Source organism: Homo sapiens, chromosome 9 (genome assembly GCF_000001405.40).
Source record: "Homo sapiens chromosome 9, GRCh38.p14 Primary Assembly".
NCBI lineage: Eukaryota > Metazoa > Chordata > Mammalia > Primates > Hominidae > Homo > Homo sapiens.
Window position 1 is genome coordinate 36136354 of NC_000009.12, and position 27861 is coordinate 36164214.

The 27861-nt window shown below is 51.2% G+C and overlaps 1 protein-coding gene across 13 annotated transcripts, besides 6 other annotated features; it reads left to right on the forward strand.

Moving 5' to 3' along the window:
- Positions 32-601: a silencer, noted in NCBI's record as "silent region_19888". NCBI's record gives its function as "represses an Ori minimal core promoter by ATAC-STARR-seq in GM12878 lymphoblastoid cells {active_cell/tissue: GM12878}" and the evidence as "EXISTENCE:reporter gene assay evidence [ECO:0000049][PMID:35858748]".
- Positions 183-27560, forward strand: GLIPR2 (GLI pathogenesis related 2). 13 transcript variants are annotated; one of them, NR_104637.2, is made up of 7 exons: positions 380-438; positions 5493-5738; positions 8554-8688; positions 11433-11541; positions 12194-12297; positions 14519-14596; positions 26009-27553. NR_104637.2 is itself a non-coding variant. In NM_001287013.2 (5 exons), the coding sequence occupies exons 1-5, from the start codon at positions 467-469 to the stop codon at positions 26167-26169; spliced, it is 510 nt and encodes a 169-aa protein (NP_001273942.1). In that variant the 5' UTR covers positions 380-466; the 3' UTR covers positions 26170-27553. The 13 variants fall into 13 exon arrangements, 8 of the variants coding, with proteins under 8 accessions (NP_001273942.1, NP_001273940.1, NP_071738.1 ...); NR_104639.2 differs by lacking the exons at positions 5493-5738; positions 8554-8688 and adding an exon at positions 24116-24250; NR_104638.1 differs by lacking the exons at positions 380-438; positions 5493-5738; positions 8554-8688 and adding an exon at positions 183-230 and having other exon boundaries at positions 26009-27560.
- Positions 632-681: a silencer, noted in NCBI's record as "silent region_19889". NCBI's record gives its function as "represses an Ori minimal core promoter by ATAC-STARR-seq in GM12878 lymphoblastoid cells {active_cell/tissue: GM12878}" and the evidence as "EXISTENCE:reporter gene assay evidence [ECO:0000049][PMID:35858748]".
- Positions 12153-12202: an enhancer, noted in NCBI's record as "active region_28345". NCBI's record gives its function as "activates an Ori minimal core promoter by ATAC-STARR-seq in GM12878 lymphoblastoid cells {active_cell/tissue: GM12878}" and the evidence as "EXISTENCE:reporter gene assay evidence [ECO:0000049][PMID:35858748]".
- Positions 12543-12622: an enhancer, noted in NCBI's record as "active region_28346". NCBI's record gives its function as "activates an Ori minimal core promoter by ATAC-STARR-seq in GM12878 lymphoblastoid cells {active_cell/tissue: GM12878}" and the evidence as "EXISTENCE:reporter gene assay evidence [ECO:0000049][PMID:35858748]".
- Positions 25398-25978: an enhancer, noted in NCBI's record as "H3K27ac-H3K4me1 hESC enhancer chr9:36161748-36162328 (GRCh37/hg19 assembly coordinates)". NCBI's record gives its function as "activates a minimal SCP1, AML or CMV promoter by ChIP-STARR-seq in naive H9 embryonic stem cells {active_cell/tissue: H9 hESC(naive)}" and the evidence as "EXISTENCE:reporter gene assay evidence [ECO:0000049][PMID:30033119]".
- Positions 25979-26559: an enhancer, noted in NCBI's record as "H3K27ac-H3K4me1 hESC enhancer chr9:36162329-36162909 (GRCh37/hg19 assembly coordinates)". NCBI's record gives its function as "activates a minimal SCP1, AML or CMV promoter by ChIP-STARR-seq in naive H9 embryonic stem cells {active_cell/tissue: H9 hESC(naive)}" and the evidence as "EXISTENCE:reporter gene assay evidence [ECO:0000049][PMID:30033119]".
- Positions 27561-27861: the final 301 nt, after the last annotated feature.

The following is a 27861-nucleotide window of genomic DNA, read 5'->3' on the forward strand; positions in this document are numbered from 1 at the left end:
GGCAGGGAGAGGCCGTCCCCTGGTGGCGCCGGCCGGAACGCCCCTCGTGCCGCGACCGCGCGCCCCTCTGTCCTCGCCGCGCGTCGGCGCAGAGCAGCCACCCGGGGCCCAGCAGGCGCGGGCTTCCCCACGCGCCCCGGGAAGGGACAGCTCGGTGTGGGGTCCGGGAGGCTTGAGCCCCGCGGCCGCATCCGGGGAGCCCTCGGCAGTCGCGGAGCTGCTTCCCAGGGGTGAGCTCTCCGGGAGGCCCACGGGGTGGCCCCGGGCGCCTCCGCCCTCAGCTGTCGCTCCTTATAAGGCGGGGGCCGGGCGGCGCCGGAGGAGGGGCCGCGGCATCAGCCCGGTCCTGGGCTCTGGGGCGGCGCTGGGCCGGGCGAGCGCAGTGCAGCGCAGCCGCGGGGAGCGAGGAGCGCGCGGAGCCGGCCATGGGCAAGTCAGGTGAGCCCGCGGGCTCGCCCGCTGCGGAATGGTTCGGAACCCCGCGCTCCCGGACCTCGCCGTCTCCCTCGTCCGCCGCAAGCCAGGTCCTGGGGAGTGCGGGAGCCCGGGGTGCGGGTGGAGGGCGCGCGGGCGGAGCGCCCCGGCGCGGTTTCCGGGGAACCCGGGGGGAAGGCGAGCCCGAGGGAGGCCCCCGCCGGAGAGCCGGGGATCGCGCCAAGTTGGGCTTCCCGACCCTGAGGGGCTGCGCGCCGCGGCCCGCCAAGGCGTGGCTTCTGCTTTGTTTCAGGAGGCCAGACTTAGAGTTGGAAAAGTCACCAAAGTGTGACAACAGCTCTCGCTGCGAAGCAGTTTGCCCCGCTCGGCTGTCCCGAGGACAGCCCTGAGCATCCCCCTCATCCATTTGTTGTTCCTTCTCTCCTGAGCGCCCGCGCCGTGCCGGGCTCCCCCTGTGCTAGGCTCGGTCTGGCTCCCTTTCTCCTGGGGCACCCCATCCTCTCTACTGTGGCTGTCGGGATGAACTTTCTGCAGCGCAGCTCTCCTCCTGTCGCTCCCTAACACCTTCCTCACCATTGTCCTCAGAGTGAAAGGACACACTCCAGTCCTGCCTTCGGGCCCCTGGGAGTGGGTCCCTAGCCCTTACCTCCGCCCTACACTAGAGCTGTCCAGAAGCTGGTGCACAGGTCCCTTCCCCTAGGTTTCCTTGCCGGGCCTTCACCACCCCAACTCTCAGCCTGAAAATCCCATCCCTCTAGGCTCAGCTCCTGGGCTGGAGCCCATCTGTGATTCCCCCCGGGAGGGAGCGCCCAACCTGGTGTTTTCCTCGCTGCAGCCCTTCCTGTAGTGGGCCGGGGACAAGAGTTCAGCCATAGACCTGTTTCCCACCGGGTCCTCACCCCTGGCTGCCAGGGGCCGTGTTTATCTCAGCATTGCTTCTGCCTCACAGGAGGCTCTTAGAGAACAGCTGTTGAACAGGATTCAGAAGTCCTGCTTCATCCGGATTGTCCACTTCAGATGAGTAAGGCTAGGTCCCTTCTAGGATCTGTCCTCCAAGATCTGGACTCAGGAGATGCCAGCGCTGGGCGCAAGTGGCTTTCCCTGGCCTTGGTCCTAACCAGCCTTCCTAGGCTGTAGAGGCAGGTCTGGCTTTCAGCCCTGGCCCAGCCAATCACTGGCTGTGTGATACTGAGCAAGCCTCCTTCCCTCTGTTCCTCCCTGTCTGTACAATGAGGGTGGCCGTATGAGCCCTGGGGTTCTTCACAGTATGGAAAGGTGATATAATGGGTTGCCATTTAGTTAACAGGATGACAGATGGTGATGGAGCAAAAGTATGGCAGATGAGAGCGAGTCTTTCGAGATATCTGCTTGGGAAATCAACTCCTTTCTCTGTAGAAATTTGTGGAGAAAATCCACAAATTCCCTTAGGCTACTTTTTTTTTTTCTTTCTTTCTGAGACGTGGTCTCCTTCTGTTGCCCAGGCTGGAGTGCAGTGGTGCGATCTCGGCTCACTGCAACCTCCGCCTCCCAGGTTCAAGTCATTCTCCTGCCTCAGCCTCCTGAGTAGCTGGGATTACAGGTGTGCGCCACCACGCCCAGCTAACTTTTGTATTTTTAGTAGAGACAGGGTTTCACCGTGTTGGTCAGGCTGGTCTTGAACTCCTGACCTCATGATCTGCCTGCCTCAGCCTCCCAAAGTGCTAGGATTACAGGTGCGCCCAGCCTAGGCTACACCTTAATCAGTTGTTTCTGGCATCTTATGTAAGGCACGGTTTTCCAGAACTGCTCATATTCAGCTGTGTGCCCATTCTTCTGTCTGTTCGCCCCTTCCTCCTTCCCTCCCTTGCACTGTCTAGCAGCTCTGTATCAAGCTGTGGACCCAGTGCCGGGGCGTGCATCCACTTGGATTGTGAAAGGAATACATAAAGCTATGTAGGGGATAGACAGGCACTATCTGGCTCGAGTAAGAGGTGGAAAATGATCCAAACCACAAGACAGGTGCTGGTGAAGGGTGGTGGGAGCTCAAGGTGAGGAGACTGCTCCGCGTGGGAGCCGACGAGGGTTCCTGGAGGAGATGGTCAAATCCCAGAGGGTCTTGGGAATTTAGACTTCATCTTATGGAACCTGGGGTGCCATGGAAAGGCACTGATCTGAAAGCAGCGTAACTAGAGCGTTGCCAGGGTGTAGGGTAGATCGGATGGATGGAGAGAAGGTGGAGGGAGGATAGGGGAGACTGCCGCAGTCACAAACAGGAGATGACAGAGGCATCCAGGGCAGGGTGGAGGCTGGAGAGGAGGATGGGATGGATTTGTGAGATGGTGGCCTTGGGCAGACTTGGTGACAACTTATTGTGAAGCAGAGGGAAGGGTCAGAGGCCTGCACGATGGGATGATGGCTTCCATGCCTGGAGATGCAGGGTTGGGCAGGTTTCAGAGGAAGATTACTTCTCACTCAGGAGAGGAGGGGGCCAGTGGCAGAAAGCAGGTTAGAACTGGTTGAGTCAGAGGCCACCTCCACCCCTAACACACACACACACACCCAGGGACCTTGCAGAATTCTGACCCAGGCCTTTCTCCCTCATAGTCACGTGCATTTAATTTAACTCCCCCACCCCAACCGGAAAACCGAGAGCCCCCAGAATAGTATTAATATCTGGCTCTCCTAGGGTCCCTAAAAGAAAATGACTTTTCTGGGTGACCCCGTGCCCAGTGGTCCTTCAACTCAAGCTCAACCTTGAAGTTCCAGGCCGTCAGCCCAGGGCTGCTGTCTGTGTCTATAGGGCAGGTGGCACTCACAGGGGCTCTGTGTGCTTCTGTAAAGACCATCATAAGGAATCTGTCCCTGCCCCTTCTGGGCCTCAGTTTCCTCCTCACTGCACAGGAGCCAGTCTCTTTTTCATCTTTAACCTCAGATACACCCCAGAGCTGCTTGGCATAACAGGCGTTATTGTAAAATCATCACACAGCTGGCACAGTTGAAATTCCAGAAGACGCTTGGCCTAGTGATCGAAGACTCCCAGATCCTGCTCCCAGCTGTGGTTTCTCTGCTGGGACTTGGTGTGCAGCAAGTGTGGTGGGGAAGAGAAAGGCAATGACCTTGGGCTCAGTGGAAGCCTCCTGTCCCTAATACTGGTGACACCAATGATTAATCTTCAACTGCATGCCAGGCAAAGAGCTCAGTATTTTCTATGTTACCATATTAGTGACAGCACTGCCAGGCAGTTATTATCAACTCATTCTATAGATTTACAGAGGTTGAGTACCTTGCCCAAGCTCACACACTGACAGGTAAGCAAGCCAGTGAATTTGAACTCAGCTCTCTGACTCCCCTACTGTGTCCTGTCCTCTCTCCCACACTGACCACTTGCCCTGACACCCTGCTCCCTGCCAGCCTGAACTCTAGGCCACTGGGGACTTCCACACACCCTCTCATCAGCTCTAAGAATATTAGTGTCCCTCCATCCACCTAGCACCAGAGGAAATCAGAGCAGAGAGGCCTTTAGGGACCAACGAGCCCAGGAGTTTTCTACTGAGTGGGACCCTCAGGCCTCTGCAGGGAGAAGCTGTGTGGGCCAGGCCAACCCCAGCAGTTTCATTTTCATCTGTTGCTTTTATTGAAGGTTTCCTTCAAAGGAAGGGTTTCCCTGCTTTGAAGATATTATGAAAACCACAGATGTCATCCTTCCTTCACACACAGATGGGAAACCTGGGGCCCAGAGGGGTAGGGATGTGCCTGAGTGACAGTAGGCAGGCAGGGCTGGAAAATGGCTGCCTCCCCTTCAATTACAACCACTGTCTATGGAGAGGGACAGCCTAGGGGAGGCTGATGCTTGGGGGAAGGGGGTGCCTTGTTCCCGTAAGCAATTGAGCAACTCGTCATAGACATCATTCTTGCCATTTGGAAAAGAGGAAGCAATTCGTAAAGTGGAAAGTGTGGGAGATTTGGAGCAGGGGAGGGGGTAAAGGGAGGGGCATTCTTACACCCGGCTCTAATGTGGGCTCTGTGTGGTCTTGGACAATGCGCATGCCCCCCACCATCCAAACACCCCAGTTTCCTCATCTGTAATGAAGAGAGGAATCCTGTCCCGCCTTCGCTGTGCTGGAGTGAGAACCTCATTCATTTGTTCACTCACTCATTCACTTAGCAAATATCCAAGCTCAGAGGGACTGAAAAAGGCCATCAAACGTCAATGTAAAGGCAGGGCAGGAGGGGACCTGACCCGGAAGGAGCAGGAACAGGTTCTTCTAAAGCCAAAGCCCAAAAGGTTTCTGTCCCTGTCCGATGGTAATAATAATCATTACAGTTGGCATTTAATACCTGTTCATTATATTCCAGAACAGTTCGAAAGCATTTACATAGATTAATTCATTTAACTCTCACTGCAGCCTTGTGAGGTAGATACTGCTGTTCTCATTTTATGTATGGGGAAAGGAGGCACAGAGTGTTGAAGCAACGTGTCCAAGATCGCATGGCCAGTAAAAGGCAGTGCGGGGATTTGGCTGTTGAAATTCCCGGATCCGGCTTAAAGAGCAGGAGTTACCCAGCTGAAATTCATTCTTTTTTTTTTTTTCCTTAAACTGCCAACTTTTTATTCTTTCTTCCTGATAAACAAGCAAAACCAGCTTTGCCCCGAAGGCAGAACCGGGCTGCTTTCCAGCCTTTTGCCAAGGGGGCAGGGGGCCTGTTCACAATTCCTGCCCTGGGCCCTGACAGTCACTGGCTCTTTCATGAGGAGCCTGGAGAGGGCAGAGTGAGTCAGGCTGGGCTCAGGGAGGCCTCAGGAGAGGAGGAAGATGCTGAGGGAAGAGCCTGTCTCAGCCAAAAGTTTAAATGGTAGAGGAGGGGCATAGACCTCCTCAGAATCTTTTTTTTCTTTTTCTTTTGAGTCAAGGTCTTGCTCTGTCACGCAGGCTGGAGTGCAGTGGTGCGATCATGGCTCACTGCAGCCTCGATCTCCTGGGCTCAAGCGATCCTCCCATCTCAGTCTCCCGAGTAGCTGGGACCACAGGCGTGGGTCACCACGCATGGCTAATTTTTTTTTTTTTTGTCCTCCTCAGAATCTCTACAGAGCCTCCAGCGGTAGAGGCCTGGCCTCCAGAAGGAACTTCGAGAACCCAGTGCAGCCCCACCTAGGACACCTATACCCTCCACCCCAGCAGAGACAGCCCAGCCCCTTCCCTCAGCCCTGGGGAGCCAGGCCCAGGGCTTTTAGCAGCTCTGACCTTTATTTTAAGTCCCAAGTCTGGCCCCCTGGTAACCTGCACTCTGCAGTCCCTGATATCCCCCTGGGGTCCCTCAGCCAGGTATGCTGGAAAAGCGCTTGGCACAGAGGAGGCTCTTGAGAAGCCTTCGTTCTTCTCTTCTCTTCCTTCCTCTCCTTTGTTCACTTCAGAGATCTGAAGTCAGCTGCCACCCCTGTCTATTTTCTTCTACTGCTTTCCTCAGCTGTCCTTGAGCCTGATCCCCCTCCCAGGCCTCCTCAGTCACCCGCTGCCTCTTTCCATCATTCCCTTTGTCGCCTGTGACCCTGAGGAGGGGTGGGGGCTTAGGACAGGGCTTTGCATAGGATCTGGACTAGTTGTGGGAATTTGGGCAGGTAACTTCCCTTCTCAAGCCTCAGTTTCCTAATTCGAAAAGAAAAAACATGGGTAAGGTCATGGCAGCTCCCACAGAAGATGGCGAGAAATAAGATCATGCGTAGGCCCAGCACATGGCCAGAGCAGGAGAAAGCAGGCCCGGGATGGGTGAGCCTGCGTCTTCCTCATTCCTCAGGGTTGGCACTCTGAGGCCGTGTGGACTTTCCAGCCTCAGTTTACCCTCCTACAAAATAAGGACGTCATCCCTGCCCTTCCCCCATCGTAGGGTGGCTGGGAGGGCTCTCCCTGCCTAACTGGGAGATGGACGACTTTTCTTTGACTTTTTCTTCCTCCTCTTTATCTGTATTCTTGGGTTTTTCTCGGTGGGGGTAGGGTGTGCTTCTTGCTAGGTGTGGCAGCTACTGATAACTTTGCCTCCCTGGGGCAGGCCCTCTCAGAGGAGCCACCTGGGCTAGGACTGGCTGCCTGGTGGGAGGGGACTCCTGGGGCTGCCCAAGGTGTGGTTGTGGGGCCCTTATGCCTCCCAGCCAGGAGTGGGGAGAGAGGACTCCCCCACCACCGATTACCAGAAAGACCTCCTGGCCCCTTCCAGAGAACCCTGGCTCAGGAGCCTGGCGTTGGCGGACACAGTGCCTAGCTGCAGCTTCTGGGCATTGAGCTTTGCTTGGACACAGGAACTTTCACTTTTGTTTCTTTTTACTTCCCATATTCTGGGAGTGCAGTGACCTAGTTTTTAGCGGCCTTATATGTCCCTCTCTGCCGAGGAGACTTGAGGGCCTCCAGCACTATGGGATCCAGTGCAAACTGACTCCAGCACTCAGGCTGCCTTTAAACTGGCTTCCCCTTAGCAAGCCACCTACTCCTCTGTCTCCCCCTCCTCTTCAGAGCCCCAGGATACACGTGGTCCCTTCATCCTGGCTCTTTCTGTGCTGTTGCCTCCTCCATTCATGCTTCCTGAGCCAGGAACACCTCCTCCAGGGAGTCCTCCTTTCCTGACGCATTTGTGGTCACCACTGCACGTGCCACTCAGCCTCATGCATCTCCCGTGGTGTCCCACGAGACCCACCGTGGCCTGTCTGGGACATGGGAGCTAGAAGGGACTTTAGGATGGGCCTGGACAACCCTGCCACTCAGATGGGGACCCCCGTCACCTTTGCGGTGTCACCTATACGGGCCCTTTCCCGCACACTCACACTCGTTCTGATCAGCGTCTCCTGAGAGAAGCTTGTTTGGGAAACTCCTGCACGTCTTGGGTCAGTTGTTCATCTTGTCTCCTCTCACTCCTACCCCAGCAGGACCTTATGGGATCTCAGGATTGGAAGGGACTTGAAGGTCCTCTGACTCTCAGGCCTGAGTCCCTCCAAGAGGGACTCACCTGCCTGAATTCCTTCAGTGGTAGAGAGCTCACTACCTTGTGAGGTAGCTCCTTTTGGTCGCCAGAAAGCTTTGACTAGGAAAGATCTTTCTTAGGCTGAGCTGAAATCTGTCATCCTGCCTTTCTACCCACTGGCCCCAGCTTTCCCCTCTGGGGCCCCAGAATTCATCAGAGGCCTCCACCGTGTCTTCCAGAGGCTGATCCTCTCCAGGCTGAACATCCCCCATCCTTGTACCAATTCCTCATCAGACCCCTCTTCCAGCCTCAACACACCTCAAATCACCACTGCCTCTTGCACAAAACAGGGACCAGGCTGGGGAAGCAGCCCGTGGCCCAAGAACCCATGGGTTCCTGGAGGCCATGCTACCCAGCTGACCCTTCTTAAACTGGTCAACGAGACCCCCATCTGGGTCCCATGAGTTGCTATGGCCCCTGGCATTTCCCTGTGAGATATTCTTTAAAAGCCTCTCTGACTCCTTATCCCAAATACCACATTACCATGCTAACCCTGAAATCTTTTTGTTTATCATGGTAAAAATGCATAGCATAAAATGTATTATCTTAACCATTTTTAAGTGTACAGTTCTGTAGTGTTAAGTATATTTACATTGCTATGCAACAGAGCTCCACAACTTTTTCATGTTGCAAAACTGAAACTCTATACATGTTAAACAACACCTCTGCCTTTTCTCCTCTCCACTGTAGACCTGAAATCTTTGTTTTTCCTATTGACAAGGGCTTGGTCCGTCTGTTGGCCAGGAAGTCCCGATACTTCAGGTTGTAGCTCCGCCCTCTGCCTTAATGCCTGTCCCCATGATCAGTTTCCACCTCCATGTCTCCCCACCTCTGCCTGTCAACCAAAACCTCACAAATCCTGGGGTTCAGAGCCCCCATATCCCTGCCCTGCCCACATTACTCTGACTGGACCTCACTGGACAGCCTCACTGAGCCCAAGTTCTAGAGCTTGCGCCGCGTACTCTTTGTCTAAGCGTCTACTTCCTCCTTCTCAGAAGGCCCACGGACAGCTCCACCATGCAGGTGTGACCTGCAGTTACCTTCACCTTCTGGGTCTGTAGCTCCCGGGTCTGCAGCCCCCAAACCCCGCAAAGGCAAGCCCTGGGTCTTCTTTCCCTCACGTCTCCTCAGAAATTCCATGGGATTTGACTTGGCCCAGGAGACATGGGAGATCTGGCTATGAGAAAAGGGACTAGGACTCCCTGTTGCATCATCTCCTCAGTCTCGGGTGAAAGGCAGCAGAGTAGAAGAAAGGCACCAGTGAAGGTGAGCTGGGGCAGAGGAAGAGAGTGGCACTTCCTTTATGGTTCACACCCTTCCTGCCACTACCCACAGCCAGTCTTTGAGGGACAAGCCTGTGGCCTGATGGGACCAATTCAGCATAAGGGCCCTCTGTGGCCCTCACTCAGAACTCATCCAACTCACCCCCATTTCCAGAGAAAGGAACTCCCAGATTCCTGAGTATGGTGCTCAGTGTCTTCATCATAGCCTGGCTGGCTAGCCCCTGTTCAGATATTTCTGGGGCCTCATATTGGGAGTTGCCTCCTTCCTGATCCCATGTTAGGTTAATCTCCAAGTTCCTTTTGCACCTGTGCTTACCTGCATCTTGGCACCTATCACATGGCTAGTGTCTGTTTACAAGGCTGCCTCCCTTCCGTATGGGAGCTCTTTGAGAGCAACACATGGCTGACTTGTCTCTGGACCCTTAGCACACAATATGGGACATGGCACAGGGGAAGCACTCAGAGAGCAGATGAACAGTTAAATGGAGGATAGATGGATGGACCTTGGATGAATGGTAGATGTATGGATGAATGATGCTGGATGGATGAGTAATGTTAGATGGATGACAATGTTGCATGGATAGATGTATGGAAGATATTAGGTGGATGGGTGGGTAGATGGAGGGAGGATGTTGGATGGATGGATGGAGGATGTTGGATGGATGTATAGATGATGTTGGATGAATGGTGGATGGACAGATGAATGGAAGATGTTGGATGGATGGATGGTTCGAGGATGTTGGATGGATGGATGGATGGGGATCATTTCAGATCCAAATTGGTATGGCTTCTGTTCACTATTGATCTTGCTTGCTTTTGGCTTCACCTACTTATTCTCTCCCTAACCACAGCCTCCTTGACTTTGCCCTTTCTGAGATCATGACCTAATTGGGCATGGGCTTCACCTTTTCCCCCACTGCAGCCCTGGGCCTGCTGATCATACCACTCACCCTCCCACCAACTCCACTTTCTTTGCTACACTCTTCTCCTATTCTGCATCTTAGTCCATTTTCTGCTGCTATAAATTACACTGGGTAATTTATTAAAAAACAGTTTATTTGGCTCACGGTTCTGGAGGCTGGGAAGTCCAAGAGCATGGCATTGGCATCTGGCGAGGCCCTCATGCTGCATTATCCCATGGAAGAGCAGAAGGGCAAGTAAGCACTCAAGACGGGGAGAAGATCAGCCCAAACTCATACTTTTACCAGGAGCCCAGTCCTGTGATAATGCCCTCTAATCACCTCTTAAAGATCTCACTCCTCCGCATGGTTACATTGACAATTAAATTTTAGCATGAGTTTTGGAGGGGACGTTCAAACCAAAGCATTCTGCCCCTGGCTCCCCAAAACTCATGTCTTCCCCACTTACAAAATATATTCACTCCATCCCAATAGCCCCAAGTCTTAACTTGTTCCAGCACCAACTCAAAGTCCAAAGTCTCATCTAAATTAGATACAGGTGAGAGTCAAGGCACAATTCCCCCAGAGACATATTCCTTCCAGCTGTGAGCCTGTGAAATCAAAAGAAGTTATCTATTCCAAAATACATTGGTGGGACAGGCATAGGATAGATACTCTCATTCCAAAAGGGAGAAATAGGAAAGAAAGTAACCAGTCCCAAGTAAGTGCACAACCCAGTAGGGAAAACATTCAATCTTAAGGCTGGAGAATAATCCTCTTTGATTCCCTCTCCTGCCTCCTGGGCATGCTGAGTGGGAGTTGGACCCCAGGGCCTCAGGCAGCCCCACCCCCATGGCTTAGGGCTGTCCGGCTTCAGCTCTCGGGTGGAAGCCTCGTGCTTGCAGCCTTCCCAGGCGGGCGTTACATGCCGGTAGCTCCACAGTTCTGGGGTCTTGGGGCGGCTGCACTTCTACAGCTCCATTAGGCACCGTCCTAGTGGGGACTCTGCGGTGGCTCTGCCCCTGCAGTAGGTTTCTGTGTGGGTCCCCAGGTTGTCTGATTAGATGGCACCCACCCACGTTGAGAGTAGATCTTCCCCACTCAGACTCACACACCAGTCTCCTCTGGAAACACTCTCACAGACACACCCCAAAATAATGCTTTACCAATTCTCGAGGTATTTCTTAATTCAGTCAAGTCAGCACCTAAAACTCGCCCTCACACTCTGCTTCCCCAGGGCTGTCCTTCCCTCGTCTCTTTGTCTGTCTCTCTGTCTCCTTGGCTTCACCCACCCAGCATAGGTGCCCTCCTCCCCAGCCAGGAGGCCTCTTTCTGGACTCCCAGCTCTGGCCCATTCCAGTCCCCTCTGCTCTCCCTAGGTCCAGCCTGAGATACCCGGTCTCCTTCAGATATTTTACTTCCAAAGTCCTATTGCTGACTGTCCAGGTCCCCAAATCTGCTCTGTGTTTCTGTGCATCCTCCACTCAGCAGCCAGCAAGGTCTTTGAGAAACACATGGAGCTCACTGCCCTGCTCCCTTTCAGTGGCTTCCCATTGCCTTGGATAAAGACCCAAATGCCTAACAGGGCCCATAAGGCCCCACATGATCCACGGGCTTTAGATGTGCAGAGATGTGGAGCGCGATGCCAGGTAGGGTGAGCAGTGGCGTGGAGCAGGGCCACTTGGCTGGGGTGCCAGGTGTTGGAGGGGAGCAGCAGCCTGTCCACATGGCCTAAGGTTTGAGCTGGGTGTTGCTTTCAGCATGCCATTATACTTTTGATGAGTGTTTTCTCTGCACTGAGCCATTCTCCATTTTGCAATCATTCCAGCTTCCAAACAGTTTCATAATGAGGTCCTGAAGGCCCACAATGAGTACCGGCAGAAGCACGGCGTCCCCCCACTGAAGCTCTGCAAGAACCTCAACCGGGAGGCTCAACAGTGAGTCCCCTAGCACATCCGGGTAACTTGGCCCTTCATGTGCTGCTACTGCAGTCACAAAGGGGCCCTGTGGCCAGGCACGATGGCTCACACCTGTAATTTCAGCACTTTCAGAGGCCAAGGCGGGCGGATCACCTGAGGTCAGGAGTTCAAGACTGGCCTGGCCAATATGGTGAAACCTTGTCTCCACTAAAAATACAAAAATTAGCCATGTGTGGTGGCATGGGCCTGTAGTCCCAGCTACTCGAGAGGCTGAGGCAGGAGAATTGCTTGAACCCGGGAGGTGGAGGTTGCAGTGAACCAAGATTGCGCCACTGCACTCCAGCCTGGGTGACAGAGTGAGACAACATCTCAAAAAAAAAAAAACGTTGGGGGGCCCTGCATGGTTTTGGGGACCGGGTTTTGGGATCAGATATAACCACACTTGAATAACCACTCTCTCACTCACCTGGGCAGGTCCTTTTAGTTCCCCTGAGCCTCGACTTGTTCCTCTGTGGAATGGGACTGCTGGGAGGCTCAGAAATCATGCAAGAGTGGTGCTCCTCTGTGAGCCCGGGGCAGGGAAGGAAGCTCAGCCACACTAGCTTGGGGCACATACTTTGGGGGTTCCCTGAACTGCACCTGCTCTGAGGAGGCGCTGTGAACTCTGCAGGTATTCTGAGGCCCTGGCCAGCACGAGGATCCTCAAGCACAGCCCGGAGTCCAGCCGTGGCCAGTGTGGGGAGAACCTTGCATGGGCATCCTATGATCAGACAGGTGGGTCGCATTTTCAGCTCCTCTCCTCTCTGCGGGAGCTGGAAGAAGGACAAGTCCTCCTGAAATGCCTCCTGGCCCCAGCACCCTCGTGGTGTAGCCACAGGCCCAGGAAAGGAAAGAAAAACCAGAGCTCTCTGAATCTGCTCCCAGGCTGACTTCAGTTCACCACAAGGTCTCTGATGGCTGGCTCAGTGCCAGGCCTGTGCTGGGTGCCAGGGACACAGAGATGAGTCAGACTGACCAGGCCCCCACTTTCGGAGAAGCTCCCAGGCCGAGGAGTGGGGGTTGGGGAGACAGACCGCTTTTGTACAGAATCTCAGCCTGATTCTGTGTCCACCAGAGCATCCCCAGCTACTGAGAAATGTTATTTTCTTCCCGAGAAATTTTACTTTCTTACCGTACTGGTGATACACTACCAGTAGTGCTGGTGTATTACTTTTATAATAGGAGAAAAGCAATAGAGCTTTTTCCATTTTGGAAAAAAAAATAATAATGGAAAAGACAATGTCTCCATGCAAGGTCTCGATCTGGAATGATCCCACCATGCTGCCCAGACATTCTTGAGCTTCCTGGCCCTCTGGCCCTGACAGCCCTGATGTGGCTTTTTAGGAAGAATATTGGAGAGCTGTCTGGATCTCTGAAGCTTTCTCCAAACACCAGTGGGAGAATGACTCACTCCCTCCCCAGCCTCACATTCCTGGGAGATCCCCCAAGTCCTCTTGGTTTCCCCAGCACAGCCTAAGCCAGGGCTCCTGTGCAACGTGGTCCTTGGCACCCCCACTGGGAGGCATGTGTGAACTCCTGGGGAACCCCCTACCCACCCCTCCCTCCAAGGCCTTGCCCTCACCCTGCAGGCTCCTTCCCAAGTCCAGGCTGTGGCCCTCGATGGGCCCCGGGAGAAGGGCATAGGTTCAGGAGACATGGTCCATTCCAGCCTCGCACAGCCTCCCTCGGGAGCCTTGAGCAGGTCCCTCCCTCCTCTGCCCCCAGTTTCCCATCTCTACAGAGAGGGGGTTGGGTAGGTGGTCTCTGAGACAGTGCTTCCCTACTCTGGTCGCACATTGGAATCTTTTGTGGAGCTTTAAAAAAATACCAGGCTGGGCACAGTAGCTCACGCCTGCAATCCCAGCACTTTGGGAGGCCGAGGTGGGTGGATCACCTGAGGTCAGGAGTTTGAGACCAGAATGACCAACATGGAGAAACCCCATCTGTACTAAAAATAGAAAAATTAGCCAGGCGTGGTGGCACATGCCTGTGATCCCAGCTACTCGGGAGGCTGAGGCAGGAGAATCGCTTGAACCTGGGAGGTGGAGGTTGCCGTGAGCTGAGATCGCGCCATTGCACTGCAGCTTGGGCAACAAGAGCGAAACTCCGTCTCAGAAAACAAAACAAACCAAACAAACAAACAAAAAATGCCTGAGTCTCTCCTCCAGAGACAGACACAGTTGGTCTGAGGAAGGACCCAGGCATTAGTATTTGTTAAATGCTCTCCAGGTGAGGCTGATGTGTGGAACATGGATCAGCAGTAGCATCTGGAAGCAGAAATGCAGAATCCTAGGTCCCTCTGTAGACCTACTGAATCAGAATCTGCCCATTAACAAGATTCTTGCACACATTTGAGACTGACTGCTCTGAGGTCCCCGCTCCTGGCTCTGGCCCGGAGAGCAGCAGCTCCCAGGGAAACGCCTGCCCATATCAACACGTGTGGGGACAGTGGATGCCCCAGGTGAGGTCCCTCCTGCCCACAGTGGAGATCCGTGGCTTACCAGCCTGATTGTCTTTCCAAATATGGATGTTTCAAGAGCTGCAAATGGGGTGAGATGACAGTATAGTCTCCTAGAAACTCGGAGCATCATCAGAAGGCCCTTGCAGTACATTGCATTCAACCTTTTCATTGTACAGAGGCCCAGAGAGGGAAGGCTTTGCCCAGGATTACACAGCAAGTCAGTGTGTATGGGTTGTGGGGGATAGGTGCAGATTCCCTGACCCCAGGCCAGTGCTCTTCCCAGCCCCCCAGAAGGCCCACTCTTCAGCCTGGCCATGCTCATGGGCAGGAGTCCCTGAGTCTGCAAAGCAGCGTCCAGGATGTGTCAGCTGACTGGGGCTTTCTCAGATGTCTAATTGCCGCATTGGTGGCTTGGGGCTGATGGGAGAAAATGCAGGGAATAGGGAGTGGGTGGATTTTGTGGCTGAGTTTTAGAACAATGTCATTTCCACACAGGAAAGGAGGTGGCTGATAGATGGTACAGTGAAATCAAGAACTATAACTTCCAGCAGCCTGGCTTCACCTCGGGGACTGGTGAGTGGCAGGGTCTCACCAGTGGCCTGGCCCTGGGCAGCAATGCAGGTTGGGTGTCTGACTTCAGGGAGGAACCAGCCCTCTAAAAAAATCAATCCTTTCCTTCCTGTTTAATCTCTTCCATATTTCTCTGGCTTGACCTTGACCACAGACCAAAGCTCTCCTTTCCGCATTACATCCCCAGCTTCCCCATGCTACATGCTCTGCTCCCTCTGAGGGCCACCAGCTGGTGAATCCTGCCCCACCAGCTCAGAGCTCTTCCCATTCATGGAGTGTGTCATAGGAGACTGGATTTCCAAAGCTGCATGGAGCTTCATTCCTGAACTGGTCACCCTGTGTCTAGTCTTGTTTTCTGCAATCCATCCTGCTCTCCAGCAGCCTCAATACTTCTAAAATTGTCCCTGCCCCTGGTGCTCTCCTGATCCAACTGCCATGGCTCCCTGGGGCCATCAGGAGAAGGCTCAAGCTGCTGGCACTCCTCCTTCCACACCCCACACCCTTCCCCACCCTTGCGGCCTCCCTGGCTTTCTCCCTTCCCCTTTCTGCACTAGTTTGCAGTTCAGGAGCTTGGGGTGCAGAGAACCTGGATCTAGTCTTAGCTCTGGCACCCTTTGCTGTGTGGACTTGAGTCAATTCCTGTCCCCTCTTCCCAGGGGAGAGGGAGAAGGTGGCTTCTAAGGGATATCCTGAGAGCCGGTGACTCAAGTGCAGGGAGGAACCTTCTGTGGGTCCATGTTCCCTTCTCAAAGGCTTCCCTTGACGAAAGCTCCGGGTGGCCACCCTGTGCCCCGGGGTCCCTCTGGGCAGCCGCCCTGTGCCCTGGGCTCCCCCTGCCTTTTGCTGGGCTCACCAGGCTCCTTGTCTTTCCTCAAAACCGACTCAGGCGTCTGGGGCCCAGGATGGTGTTAGAAGTGGGTGGGAGTTTCTCTGACCAGAAGGTGCCAGGAAAACAGAAAAAGGGACTCTCTGCCCACCTCGTTCCTCCTACCCCACCTGTTCCACCCACAAGTAGAGCCTTGCGGCCTTCCACCCTCTAGAGGGGTGCTCCAGAAGCAGGAAGTGACACGTTCTCAGCGCCAGTCACCGTTTCCTGTGGTTTGCTGCCCGCCCTTCTGGGTGGGGGTTTCTGCAACCATGTTGCATTGCATTGTTCCTGGGACTCTGGGGCAGAGGCAGAAGCATCTGCTGAGGCATTCCTCCTCTCCATTAACCCCTGCAGGACTCCAGGCTGGGCTGGCAGGGCTTTGAGTGTGAATAGGTGATTCTGGGGCAAGGATACCTAAGGGTGTGGGGAGGGAGCAGTAACAAGCTCCTGCTATTGATTAAGGATGTGTAGGCAGGACCTTGTCTTCTTTTAATAGAGATGGTGTCCAGAAGACTTCTTATTTCATAGCTTCTGGATTTGCTTTTCCCATGAGCAAGATTCTTCAGCAATCGGACATGTGTCCGAGCAAGTTATTAACTAGCACTCTGCGTGTGTGTGTGCGCACCACGTGGTAATTAGAAAGTGCCTCCATGGGCTGGGTGCGGTGGCTCACACCTGTAATCCTAGCACTTTGGGAGGCCGAGGTGGGTGGATCACCTGAGGTCAGGAGTTCAAGATTAGCCCGGCCAACATGGTGAAACCCCGTCTCTACTAAAAATACAAAAATTAGCTGGGCATGATGGTGCATGCCTGTAATCCCAGCTACTCGGGAGGCTGAGGCAGGAGAATCACTTGAACCCGGGAGGTGGAGGTTGCAGTGAGCCGAGATCATGCCTTTGCACTCCAGCCTGGGCAATAAGAGCAAAACTCTGTCTCAAAAAAAAAAAAAAAAAAAAAAAAAGGTGCCTCCACTGCCACGTAAGCATCAGGATACCATTTGAAAGTAGGGTTTGGCCAGGCGCAGTAGCTCATGCCTGTCATCCCAAAACTTTGGGAGGCCAAGGCAGGCGAATCACTTGAGGTCAAGAGCAAGACAGGCCTGGCCAACATGGTGAAATCCTGTCTCTACTGAAAGTGCAAAAAAAAAAAAAAAAAAAAAAAAAAAAAGCCAGGTGTGGTGACAGGTGTCTGTAATCCCAGCTACTCAGGAGGCTGAAGCAGGAGAATCACTTGAATCTGGGAGGCAGAGGTTGCCGTGAGCGGAGATCGCCCACTCCAGCCTGGGCAACAAGGGCGAGACTCTGTCTCAAAAAAAAAAAAAAAAAAAAGAAAGTAGGGCTTTATTCTACCCATTTTGAAGAGGAAGAAACTGAGGCCTAGAAAAGGGAAGCAGCCTTTCTCATGCCTTCCGTCCCTGATCTGATGCTTTTTCCAGCACTCCCACTCCAAAACAGGAATCTCACAAGAGTCAGAGCCCAACTTTCCATGATCACTGACTACTCGTTTCACTCATTGCCCTACTGTCCCCACCCCTAAAGAGGAAAATCCCAGAGCGGCCAGCCCTTGTGCTATTCCAGATACCAACAGGCAGTGCCTGGGGGCAGCCAGAGCCTGATCCTAAGACAGGAGTGAGATTTTGGGTGGTGTCATAATGGGGGCTTGCAGGACCCTTAAAGATCTTCATGCCCATCCTGCCTCAGCCTCCCCCAGACCCTGTCTGCAACTCCTCCTTGCTGCATCTCTGTTCATGGATTCCCTGACCTGAGTCCTTGTTGTAGGTGAAAGAGCCTTTGAAATACCCTTTGGCCAGGTGCGGTGGCTCACACCTGTAATCCCTGTACTTTGTGAAGCCGAGGCAGGCAGATCACTTGAGGTCAGGAGTTCAAGATCAGCCTGGCCAACATGGTGAAACCCCGTCTCTACTAAAAATACAAAAATTAGCCGGGTGTGGTGATGCGTGCCTGTAATCTCAGCTGCTCGGGATGCTAAGACACAAGAACTGCTTGAACCCTGGAGGCGGAGGTTGTGGTGAGCCAAGATCTCGCCACTGCACTCCAGCCTGGGTGACAGAGGAGTGAGACTGTCTCCAAAAAAAACAAAAACAAAAACAAAATAGGAAGAAATACCCTGTAATCCATCCCCACCCCCAGCCCCACCCAGGCCAGGCCAGCATCTTGTGATGAAGGATGCTGGTCAGTCACCGCTGTGTGCTGAGTGAAGAGAAACAATGTCTTATCATATTATATATTATATATTATATATTATATATTATATATATATATCTTTTCCCCCCCCCTTTGAGACCGAGTCTCACTCCGTTGCCCCGGCTGAGTGCAGTGGCACAATCTCGGCTCACTGCAACCTCCACCTTCCAGGTTCACGCGATTCTCCCACCTTAGCCTCCTGATGAATAATATTTTTATATGATATGAACACTGAGAGCTATCGAAGGTGAAAAGTTTTCTTTCCAGCCCTGACCCCTAGCACTTTCCTGCCCAAGAGACAACGAGAGATACCAATTTCCTGTGAATCATTCCGGAGGTGTCCTGTGCTTACACCAGCATGTGTGTATAAATGTTCTCTTTTCCCTTTTCCGCACGCTGGTGTCAGAGCGTATGACCTGTTTTATGCTTGTCAGAGATTGTGCCACAGCATACAAATAGTGCTCGCTCATTCTTTCTTACCTCTGCACATTATTCCCTTGCGAGGATATACTGTGACATATTTGGTGTGTTTTTCAAAGATATATTCTAGGGAGTTTGATTCACAGCAGGAAAGAGGATGTCATCCCTTTAGGAAAAAGAAAAAGGAACCTTCGTTAGTGGACTAGAGTTAGAAACCAGTGTGTATTTGATGGTTGCTAAGGAAGTTGTGTCATTTAATTCATCTCTGAATACCCATAGCTTAATTCCCTCTGTGCAGACAGAAACCTCCCCCGCGAGAAGAAAGATTGCTCAGCCTCATCAGCTTGGAAAAGGCTGCCACAGGCACTCGTGCTGCTCATGTGCACTTTGTGTCTAATTATTTTCTTGGCAACCAGTGGATAAATGGCAGCTTCTTCCTTTTCTGGGAGACAGAGAGTGGGAGGGTCGATGGCCCAAGCATGTGGTCTCCTGTGAGAGCAGGCTAGTGTGAGAAAGGACTTGAGCCTTTGGAAACGGCCTGTAGAAGTAGGGACACCAGGCTGCCGAGAGCCTGGAGCTGTGACCCAAACGTATTAAGAACCAAGGGCAAATAGGCAAACAGTCTTTATCCTCTATTCTGGGTGGAAACCAGAGTTTATTAAACAGCAGTTAATACAAGTTTAAAGTTAGTGGCAAATATGCATAATTGTACTTAGGGTTTGTTTTCTTTTCATTCTTGCTTCAATTGTATCATGTCAACTATATGGATTCGTTTTTATATTTGATTATTTTCATAAACAATTTAGTAACTTTCAGTCCTCTGTCAATGTAGACAAAGAAATAAATTATAGCTAAGTTTTAAAATGTTTTAAATGGCTGGGCGTGGTGGCTCATGCCTGTAATCCCAGCACTTTGGGAGGCCAAGGCGGGTGGATCACTTGAGGTCAGGAGTTCGAGACCACCCTGGCCAATATGGTGAATCCTGTCTTTACCAAAAATACAAAAATTAGCCGGATGTGGTGGCGTGCATCTGTAATCCCAGCTACTCAGGAGGCTGAGGCAGGAGAATCACTTGAACCCAGGAGGCGGAGGTTGCAGTGACATGAGATCGTGCCACTGCACTCCAGGCTGGGCAACAGAGTGAGACTGTCTCAAAAAAAAAAAGTTTTAAATGGAGTTTAACTACAGGAGAAAAAATAGAATTTAATCTACAAACATTTATTTCAGTCCTTACCATACACAGGATGCAATGGGAAGGACCGACTTTGTCTCTTCCCTAAAGAACTAGAAGAGTGTGTACACCAGTCTCTTCCTCTCTCTCCTACTTTCTTTTTTTAATTTTTTAGTAAAATAGGCTGGGTGTGGTGGCTTATTCCTGTAACTCCAGTACTTTGGGAGGCCAAGGCAAGAGGATCCCTTCATCCAGGAGCTCCAGACCAGCCTGGACAACATGGCAAGACCCCATCTCTACAAAAACAATTAAAAACTAGGCTGGGCACGGCAGCTCACACCTGTAATCCCAGCACTTTGGGAGGCTGAGGTGGGCGGATCACCTGAGGTTGGGAGTTCGAGACCAGCCTGGCCAACATGGTGAAACCTTATCTCTACTAAAAATACAAAAATTAGCCAGGCATGGTGGCGCACGCCTGTAATCCCAGCTACTTGGGAGGCTGAGGCACAACAATCGCTTGAATCTGGGAGGCGAAGGTTTCAGTAAGCCAAGATTGCACCACTGCACTCCAGCCTGGGTGACAGAGCAAGACTCCATCTCAAAAAATTAAAAAATTAAAAAATTAAAAAACTAGCTGGGTGTAGTGGCACGTGCCTGTGGTCCTGGTTACAGGAGGCTGACGTGGGAGGATTGCTTGAGTCAAGGAGTTGGAGGTTGCAGTGAACCATGATTGCACCACGGCACTCCAGCCTGGACAACAGAGTGAAGCCATGTCTAAAAAAAAAAAAAAAAAAAAAAAAAAAGAAATTGTAGTAAAGCACATATAACTGAAAATTTACCATTTTAACCATTTTAGGTATACAGTTCAGTGGGATTAAACACATTTACACTGTTATGCAATCATCGCCACCATCCATCTCTAGAATTCTTTTCATCTTCACAGATTAAAACTCAGTACCCCTTAGACCAGGGGACCCCAACTCCTGGGCAGTGGACCTGTATGGGCCCATGGCCTGTTAAGAACTGGGCCGCACAGCAGGAGGTGAGCCTGGGTGAGTAAGATTACTGCCTGAGCTCCGCCTCCTGTCAGATCAGCAGTGGCGTTAGATTCTCATAGGAGCATGAACCCTATTATGAATTCCTCACGCAAGGGATCTAGGTTGCATGCTCCTTATGAAAATCTAATGCCTGATGATCTGAGGTGGAACAGTTTCATCCTGAAACCATCTCCACCCCACCCCAACCATTGTTCTACTTTTGGTTTTAACTATTCTAGCTACCTCATATAAATGGAATCATACAATATTTGCCCATTTGTGTCTGGCTTATTTCACTTAGCATCATGTTTTCAAGGTTTACCCTTATTAGAGCACGTGTCAGAATTCCTTTTTATTTTAATTTATTTTATTTTATTATATTTTATTTGAGACGGAGTCTCACACTGTTGCCCGGGCTGGAGTGCAATGGCGTGATCTTGGCTCACTGTAACCTCTGCCTCCCGAGTTCAAGCGATTCTCCTGCCTCAGCCTCCTGAGTAGCTGGGATTATAGGCACCCGCCATCATGCCCAGCTAATTTTTTTTTTTTTTTTTTGTATTTTTAGTAGAGATGGGGTTTCACTATGTTGGCCAGGCTGGTCTCGAACTCCTGACCTCTTGATCTGCCCACCTTGGCCTCTCAAAGTGCTGAGAATACAGGCATGATCCACCACACCCAGTCTCTTTTTTATTTTTATTTTTTTATTTTTTATTTTTTTGAGATGGAGTCTCATTCTGTCGCCCAGGCTGGAGTGCAGTGGTGTAGTCTTGGCTCACTGCAACCTCTGCCTCCCAGGTTCAAGCGACTCTCCTGCCTCAGCCTCCCAAGTAGCTGGGGTTACAGGCACCCACCACCATGACCAGCTAATTTTTATATTTTTAGTAGAGACGGGGTTTCACCACATTGGCCCGGCTAGTCTCAAACTCCTGACCCCAGGTGATCCACCCGCCTTAGCTTCCCAAAGTGCTAGGATTACAGGCATGAGCCACTACGCCCGGCCTCAGAATTTCTTTTTAAAGCTGAATAATATCTGTTAAACACACACACACACACACACACACACACACATATATATATACACATATATACATATATATCTCCCACATTTTGCTTATCCTTTCACTTGTTGATGGACACTTGGGCTGTGTGTCTTTGTGGGTTTTTTTTTTGTTTTTTGTTTTTTCGAGATGGAGTCTCACTCTGTTACCCAGGCTGGAGTGCAATGGCACAGTCTCGGCTCATTGCAACCTCTGCCTCCCAGGTTCAAGCAATTCTCTTTCCTCAGCCTCCCCAGTAGCTAGGATTACAGGCGTGTGCCACCACACCTGGCTAATTTTTCTATTTTTAGTAGAGACGGGGTTTCATCACATTGGCCAGGGTGGTCTTGAACTCCTGACCTCAAGTGATCCGCCCACCTCAACCTCCCAAAGTGCTGGGATTACAGGCGTGAGCCACTGCGCCCGACCGGGCTATGTGACTTTGGGCCAATCTTTCAACCTCTCTGCTAGGAGCATGGGCGTATAAATATCTGAATCCCTGCTTTCAGTACTTTTGGGTATATACCTAGAAGTGGAATTGCTGAGTCATTGCAATTCTGTTTAATTTTTTGAGGAACTGCCATACTGTCTTCCAGAGCAGCTGTGCCATTTTACATTCCCATCAGCAGTGCACAGAAGTTCCAATTTCTCCACTTCCTTGCCAAAACTTGTTATGTTCTATTATTTTTGTTTCTGTTTTTCATAGTAACCATCCTGCTGAGTGTGAAGTGGTTGCCCTTTTTTCTTTCTTAACCACCCTATGGGAATCTTAGATACTCTGATCATGACTTTCCTCCTCCCTCCCTCCGTTTCTTCCTTTCCTCATCAAATGTTTATTGAGCATCTACTATGTGCCAGGCCCAGTGCTAAACACTAGGTATATGGTGATCAATAAAACAGATGTGGCACGTGCCCTCACATAGCTTGCCCAATCATAAGCCAGATATTTAGGAGGGAACAATCTCTTCAGTGTTGCTTTAGCAAATGAATGCCATCCTGTGACACAGAAAATAAATGTCTCATTGATCTCTGTAAATGCTAAACCATAAAGATGGAAGGGATGAACATCTGCCTCTACTCCCCAAGAAATAAGAATTTAGGCCAGGCATGGTGGCTCACGCCCGTAATCCCAACACTTTGGGAGGCTGAGGCAGGCAGATCACTTGAGGTCAGGAGTTTGAGACCAGCCTGGCCAACATGGTGAAACCCCATCTCTACTAAAGATACAAAAATTAGCTGGGCGTGATGGTGCTCACCTGTAGTCCCAGCTACTCAGGAGGCTGAGGCATGAGAATCACTTGAACACAGGAGGCAGAGGTTGCAGTGAGCTACGATCGCGCCACTGCACTCCAGCCTAGACAACAGAGAGAGACTCTGTCTCAAAAAAAAAAGAATTTATGATCGTTGAGCAAAGAATGCATTACAGCATCAACTCTTTGACTCCCAAATGGGAGGAGATTTGGAAGCTAAGCTATATTCGTAGCTTGAAAGGACAAGCGAGTGAAGGACAGGAAGCCTGAGAAATGGGAGACTGATGCTAAGAGGCCTCAGCAAGACCTAGTGGTGTCTGGAGGGTGGAGCAGTAGCTTGAAAAGGAACTGAGATGTTTGGCTCAGAGCAGAAGGATTTGAACGAGGCTGTAATGTGTCGAAGTCTCAAAAAGCTCAAAACATAGAATGCTGCACTTCTAGTGAAGGCAGAACTGGAGTCCAAGATGGATCTTCTATATTACTTTTATTCATCAGTTCCACTCATTCTTTCAAACATTTATTTTACACTTTTCATGTGCCAGGCTATGCCAAGGTACTGGGTGCATTTTGGTGATTAAAACAAACTTGGCCTCTGCCCATATGGACACATAGCCTGGTGAAGGAGCCAAACAGTAACCAAGTAATCAAGCAAATGCATCACACAAATGGGAAGAATGGTACATAGGGGAAAAAATGGTGTGGTAAGAATATCTTGGGAGGGAGATGGTCGGTAAATAAAAGGGTGTTTACAGGCTGGGCATGGTGGCTCACACCTGTAATCCCAATACTTGGCTGGGCCAAGGCGAGTGAATCACCTGAGGTCAGGAGTTCAAGACCAGCCTGACCAGTATGGTGAAACCCATCTCTACTAAAAATACAACAATTAGCCGGGCATAGTGGCGTGCACCTGTAATCCCAGCTACTTGGAAGGCTGAGGCAGGAGAATTGCTTGAACATGGGAGGTGGAGGCTGCAGTGAGCCGAGATCACGCTACTGTACTCCAGTCTGGGCAACGGTGAGACTCCGTCTCAAAAATAAATAAATAAATAAAAGGGTGTTTGCAAACGACTTCTTTGAACAAATGATATTTAGGCTAAGACCAAGGGACAAGAAGCTGTTGGTCATCAGAAGGGTGTCTTGGCCAGGCATGGTGGATCATACCTGTAATCTCAGCACTTTGGGAAACCGAGGCAATTCTCCTGCCTCAGCCTTCCCGATTAGCTGGGATTACAGGCATGCACCACCATGCCCGGCTAATTTTGTATTTTTAGTAGAGATGGGGTTTCTCCATGTTGGTCAGGCTGGTCTCCAACTCCCAACCTAAGATGATCCGCCCACCTCGGCCTCTCGAAGTGCTGGCATTGCAGGCGTGAGTCACGGCGCCCGGCCTTACAAATACTTTTTGAAAAATGATTCGGCAGTGGCGGCATGTGCCTGTGGTCCCAGCTACTCAGGAAGCTGAGGTGGGAGGGTCTCCTGAGCCCTGGAGGTGGAAGCTGAAGTAAGCTATGATCATGCCACTGAACTCCATCCAGCCTAGGTGACAGAGATCCTGTCAGAAAGAAGGGAAGAGAAGAGAAAAAGAGAAGAGGAAGGGAAGGAGGGAGAGAAGAAAAAAGAGAAGAAGAAAGAAGGAAAACAGAAGAAAAAAAATGTGCAAGGGTTCTGAGGTGGGACATACTCTGGTGTGTTCAAGGAATGGAGAGGAGGCCACTGCACCAAAGGATTCACTTTCATTCTAAGTGCATTGGGGAGCGAGTGAAGGATTGTTAAGCAGGGAAGTAAATAGATATGATTTATATCTCAGAATGGTCACTCTGAATACTAAGTAGAAAATGAGGCTCACGCCTGTAATCTCAGCAGTTTGGGAGGCCGAGGTGGGCAGAGCACCTGAGGTCAGGAGTTCAACACCAGCCTGGACAACATGGTGAAACCTTGTCTCTACTAAAAATACAAAAAAATAGCTGGGCATGGTGGCACACACCTGTAGTCCCAGCTACTTGGGAGGCTGAGGTGGGAGGATCACTTAAACCAAGGAGGTGGAGGTTGCAGTGAGCTGAGATCATGACACTGCACTCCAGCCTGGGTGACAGGGTGAGACTCGTCTCAAAAAAAAAAGAAAAGAAAAAGAAAATGATTTTGAGGGGCCAAGGTGGATGCCATAGAACCAGTCAGGAGGCTATTGCAATGGTCCATGTGAGAAAAGTTTGCAATTGGGACCAAGGGTTTGGGAGTGGGTGGACCTGAGATGCATTTTAGAGTTGGATTCTTCAAGACTGAATACTAGGTTGTTGTGGGGAAAAGGAAGAAGAGGAGGGATGCAGACTCCCCCTGGCAGTGTGCACATGGAGGTACCATTGATGGAGATGGGAGGACTGGGAGAGGAATAAATCTAGGGGGACAAAAACTGGGAGTGAGGTTTGGAAAGGTTAAATCTGAGATGCCTGTGAGTCATCCATGTGGAAATGTCCAGTAATTAGTTATGTCTGGAACACAGAGCAGTGATTTGAGCTGGAGAAATAAATTTGGGAGCCAGGGAAAGATGAAATTCCCTAAAGAGAGCTTAGAGGAAAAAAAAAAAAGGGCCCAGGATTGAGCCCTGGGAAGTGTGGGTCCTTCAATATCTATAAGTGAGGGCGAGGAGGCGGAAGAGGAGGCAGTGAGACAGGAGGAATGGCAAGAGACTGTGGCATCCTAGAAACCAAAAGGGGGAGGGGTGCCTTGAAAAGGAGAAGAGTAGGAAGTGTTCCTCAGGTGTCAAGTAAGATGAAGACAAAAGGGGATCACTGGAGAGCTTCAAGATTACAGCTTGGGGACAGGGTTAGACACAGGCAGTAGGCAGTAGAGTGGCATCCTAATTGTTGGGGCCACTGGGCTTTGTCGTGATCTCTGGGAGACTGTTGGAAGGTGGTGAGGTGGGTAAGGTCTGTGTGGCTGATAGAAAGGACCTGCTTTAGAATTCAGGCAGTCTGGCCAGGCACAGTGGCTCACACCTGTAATCCCAGCACTGGGAGACTGAGGCAGGTGGATCGCCTGAGGTCAGGAGTTCGAGACCATGGTGAAACCTCATCTCTACTAAAAATACAAAAAAATTAGCTGGGCGTGGTGGCATGCACCTGTAGTCCCAGCTACTTGGGAGGCTGAGGCAGGAGAATCACTCGAACCCAGGAGGTGGAGGTTGCAGTGAGCCAAGATCATGCCACTGCACTCCAGCCTGGGTTACAGAGCGAGACTCCATCTTGGGGGAAAAAAAAAGAAGTCAGGCAGTCAGAGTGTTTTCTCTCTCCTTCCCCTGCAGGGGGTCTGTGAAGACCATGCTGACCTGAGCCTGGCAAGATGGTACAGGGGTTCAACAATCCCCTGCCACATCCTTCTTCAGGCTCTGCTAATTCAGCCGTGTCCCTCTCCCTCTGCCCGTTCCCCTACAGGACACTTCACGGCCATGGTATGGAAGAACACCAAGAAGATGGGCGTGGGGAAGGCGTCCGCAAGTGACGGGTCCTCCTTTGTGGTGGCCAGATACTTCCCAGCGGGGAATGTTGTCAATGAGGGCTTCTTCGAAGAAAACGTCCTGCCGCCGAAGAAGTAACTTGTTAAATGTAATGGGAAGGTGGCAGACTTAAGAACGTGGATATGAAGTGCCTAGAACCACCACAACCTGGCTGTGCGTCTGTCCCTGTGGGTGTATGTGCTTGTGTGTGTGATGCATGTGAGCGTCTCTGGCACACACACTTGGACATACAGTTCTGTGTGCGCTCATTCTTATTACAGGAGTGAGCAAAGGAAGCATTTACCCCGATGGTTACCTAGACCACGATTATTTGGATTGGGGGGAGGGGGGATCCGTTTTTTTTTTTTAATTTTTTGTTATTTCTAAGCAAACCTCTTTTGTACTTTTCTTACTTCTAATATCCATCCCTGGACTTTTTGTATTCCAAATGTTTGTGATGCTGAGAAGTGAAGTTCATTTTATGTGATCTTCATGCGTCGTAATCTACTTTTGGTAGATAATTAAGATTATTAAACCCTCATTTAAATGTGACATAAAATACAGCTTTAAGCACATAAATACAAAGCAGCTTCCATCAGGAACATGGAGCAGGCAGGGACTCCATTTTACAGAATTACTGAGATTTCTCAGTTGTAAAACATGATGTCATCCTGCATGCCTCCTGGAATTCTCCAATGGGGTCGCCAAACAACAAATGGAGAAAAAAAGTTTTACTTCCTTGCATTCTTCTACCTTTAAATAGCAAAGTACCACTACCACCACCACCTCTTGCCCCCTTCCCTCTTTTCTTAAACTTCTGGCATTTCAGAGCTCAGCAGGCTACCCCTGGTTTCTGGAGAGTTGGGCTAGGCCTGAAGCTCCCCCTCCCCCACCTCTGCTAGGCAGCCCAGGCCTGGTCTGGGAGACAGCCCCTCACCCTGCCTGGGCTCTTGGCCAAGCGGCCTTGGATGGATGAAGTCAGAGAGGTGGGGTGAGGGTGAGCTTACTCAGGGCCCCCAGAGGAAGCCCTCAGCCTCTGCCCTCCCCCCACACAGGGCGGGAGCCCAGGCCTGTTCCTGGCAGCTGTGGCTGCAGCTGTGCTCCTGCTCCCTCCTGGAATGTGCGACAAGCCCAAATGTTCCGGGGAGGCGGCCGGGGCAGGGGGCTTAGAAGTGCTAATATGGTTCTGTGTTTTGCCTGAAACGATACCAGGTTCCCCTGAATAGCAACTTTACAAGGTCCATGTGGGAGGGACCAACCCAGATGCCCTGCTGAGTGTCCCTGAAACCATGGCAGCTCCATCTGTCAAGATGGCAGGGGCCGGAGTGAGGGGGCTGCTGGCTTAACAGCAGGCATCTGGGCAGGCCAGTCCTCAAAGCAGCTCCTGAAGGTCTGTGTTGCACTGTCACCAGTCTCAAGCTATGCCTCTAATTTCACCAGGGATATTGACTAAGAAGACAATAAAATCTTTTTCTTTGTGTAATAACCTCCTCCAATGTGATTCATACTTCATTCTCCATGGCTGAGACAATCCGTGACTCTGAATCCCTCTCTCGATTAACCCCAGAATACCTGCAACCCATTCCCCGTGGACTGTGTTGCTTAAGTGGCCAAGTTTTAAGCCATCTGACCCACCAGCACAGAGCTGATTGGACTAGAGTGGACACTGGATCCAACGGCAGCCAATCACCAGGCTGGCCATGGACTGGGAATTTCAGCTAAGAATTATGGAGAGAATTTACCAGTGGAACTGAAAAAAATAAGGATGCCATAAATTGGAATTAGGGCCAT

Bases quoted from the DNA above. Each gene is read 5' to 3' on its own strand.
- GLIPR2 (NM_001287013.2), top strand. From the start codon at position 467: ATGGTTCGGAACCCCGCGCTCCCGGACCTCGCCGTCTCCCTCGTCCGC. The intron at 525-11,432 runs GTCCTGGGGAGT...CAATCATTCCAG, and splicing joins CCTCGTCCGCCGCAAGCCAG to CTTCCAAACAGTTTCATAAT. The intron at 12,298-14,518 runs GTGGGTCGCATT...ATTTCCACACAG, and splicing joins GGCATCCTATGATCAGACAG to GAAAGGAGGTGGCTGATAGA.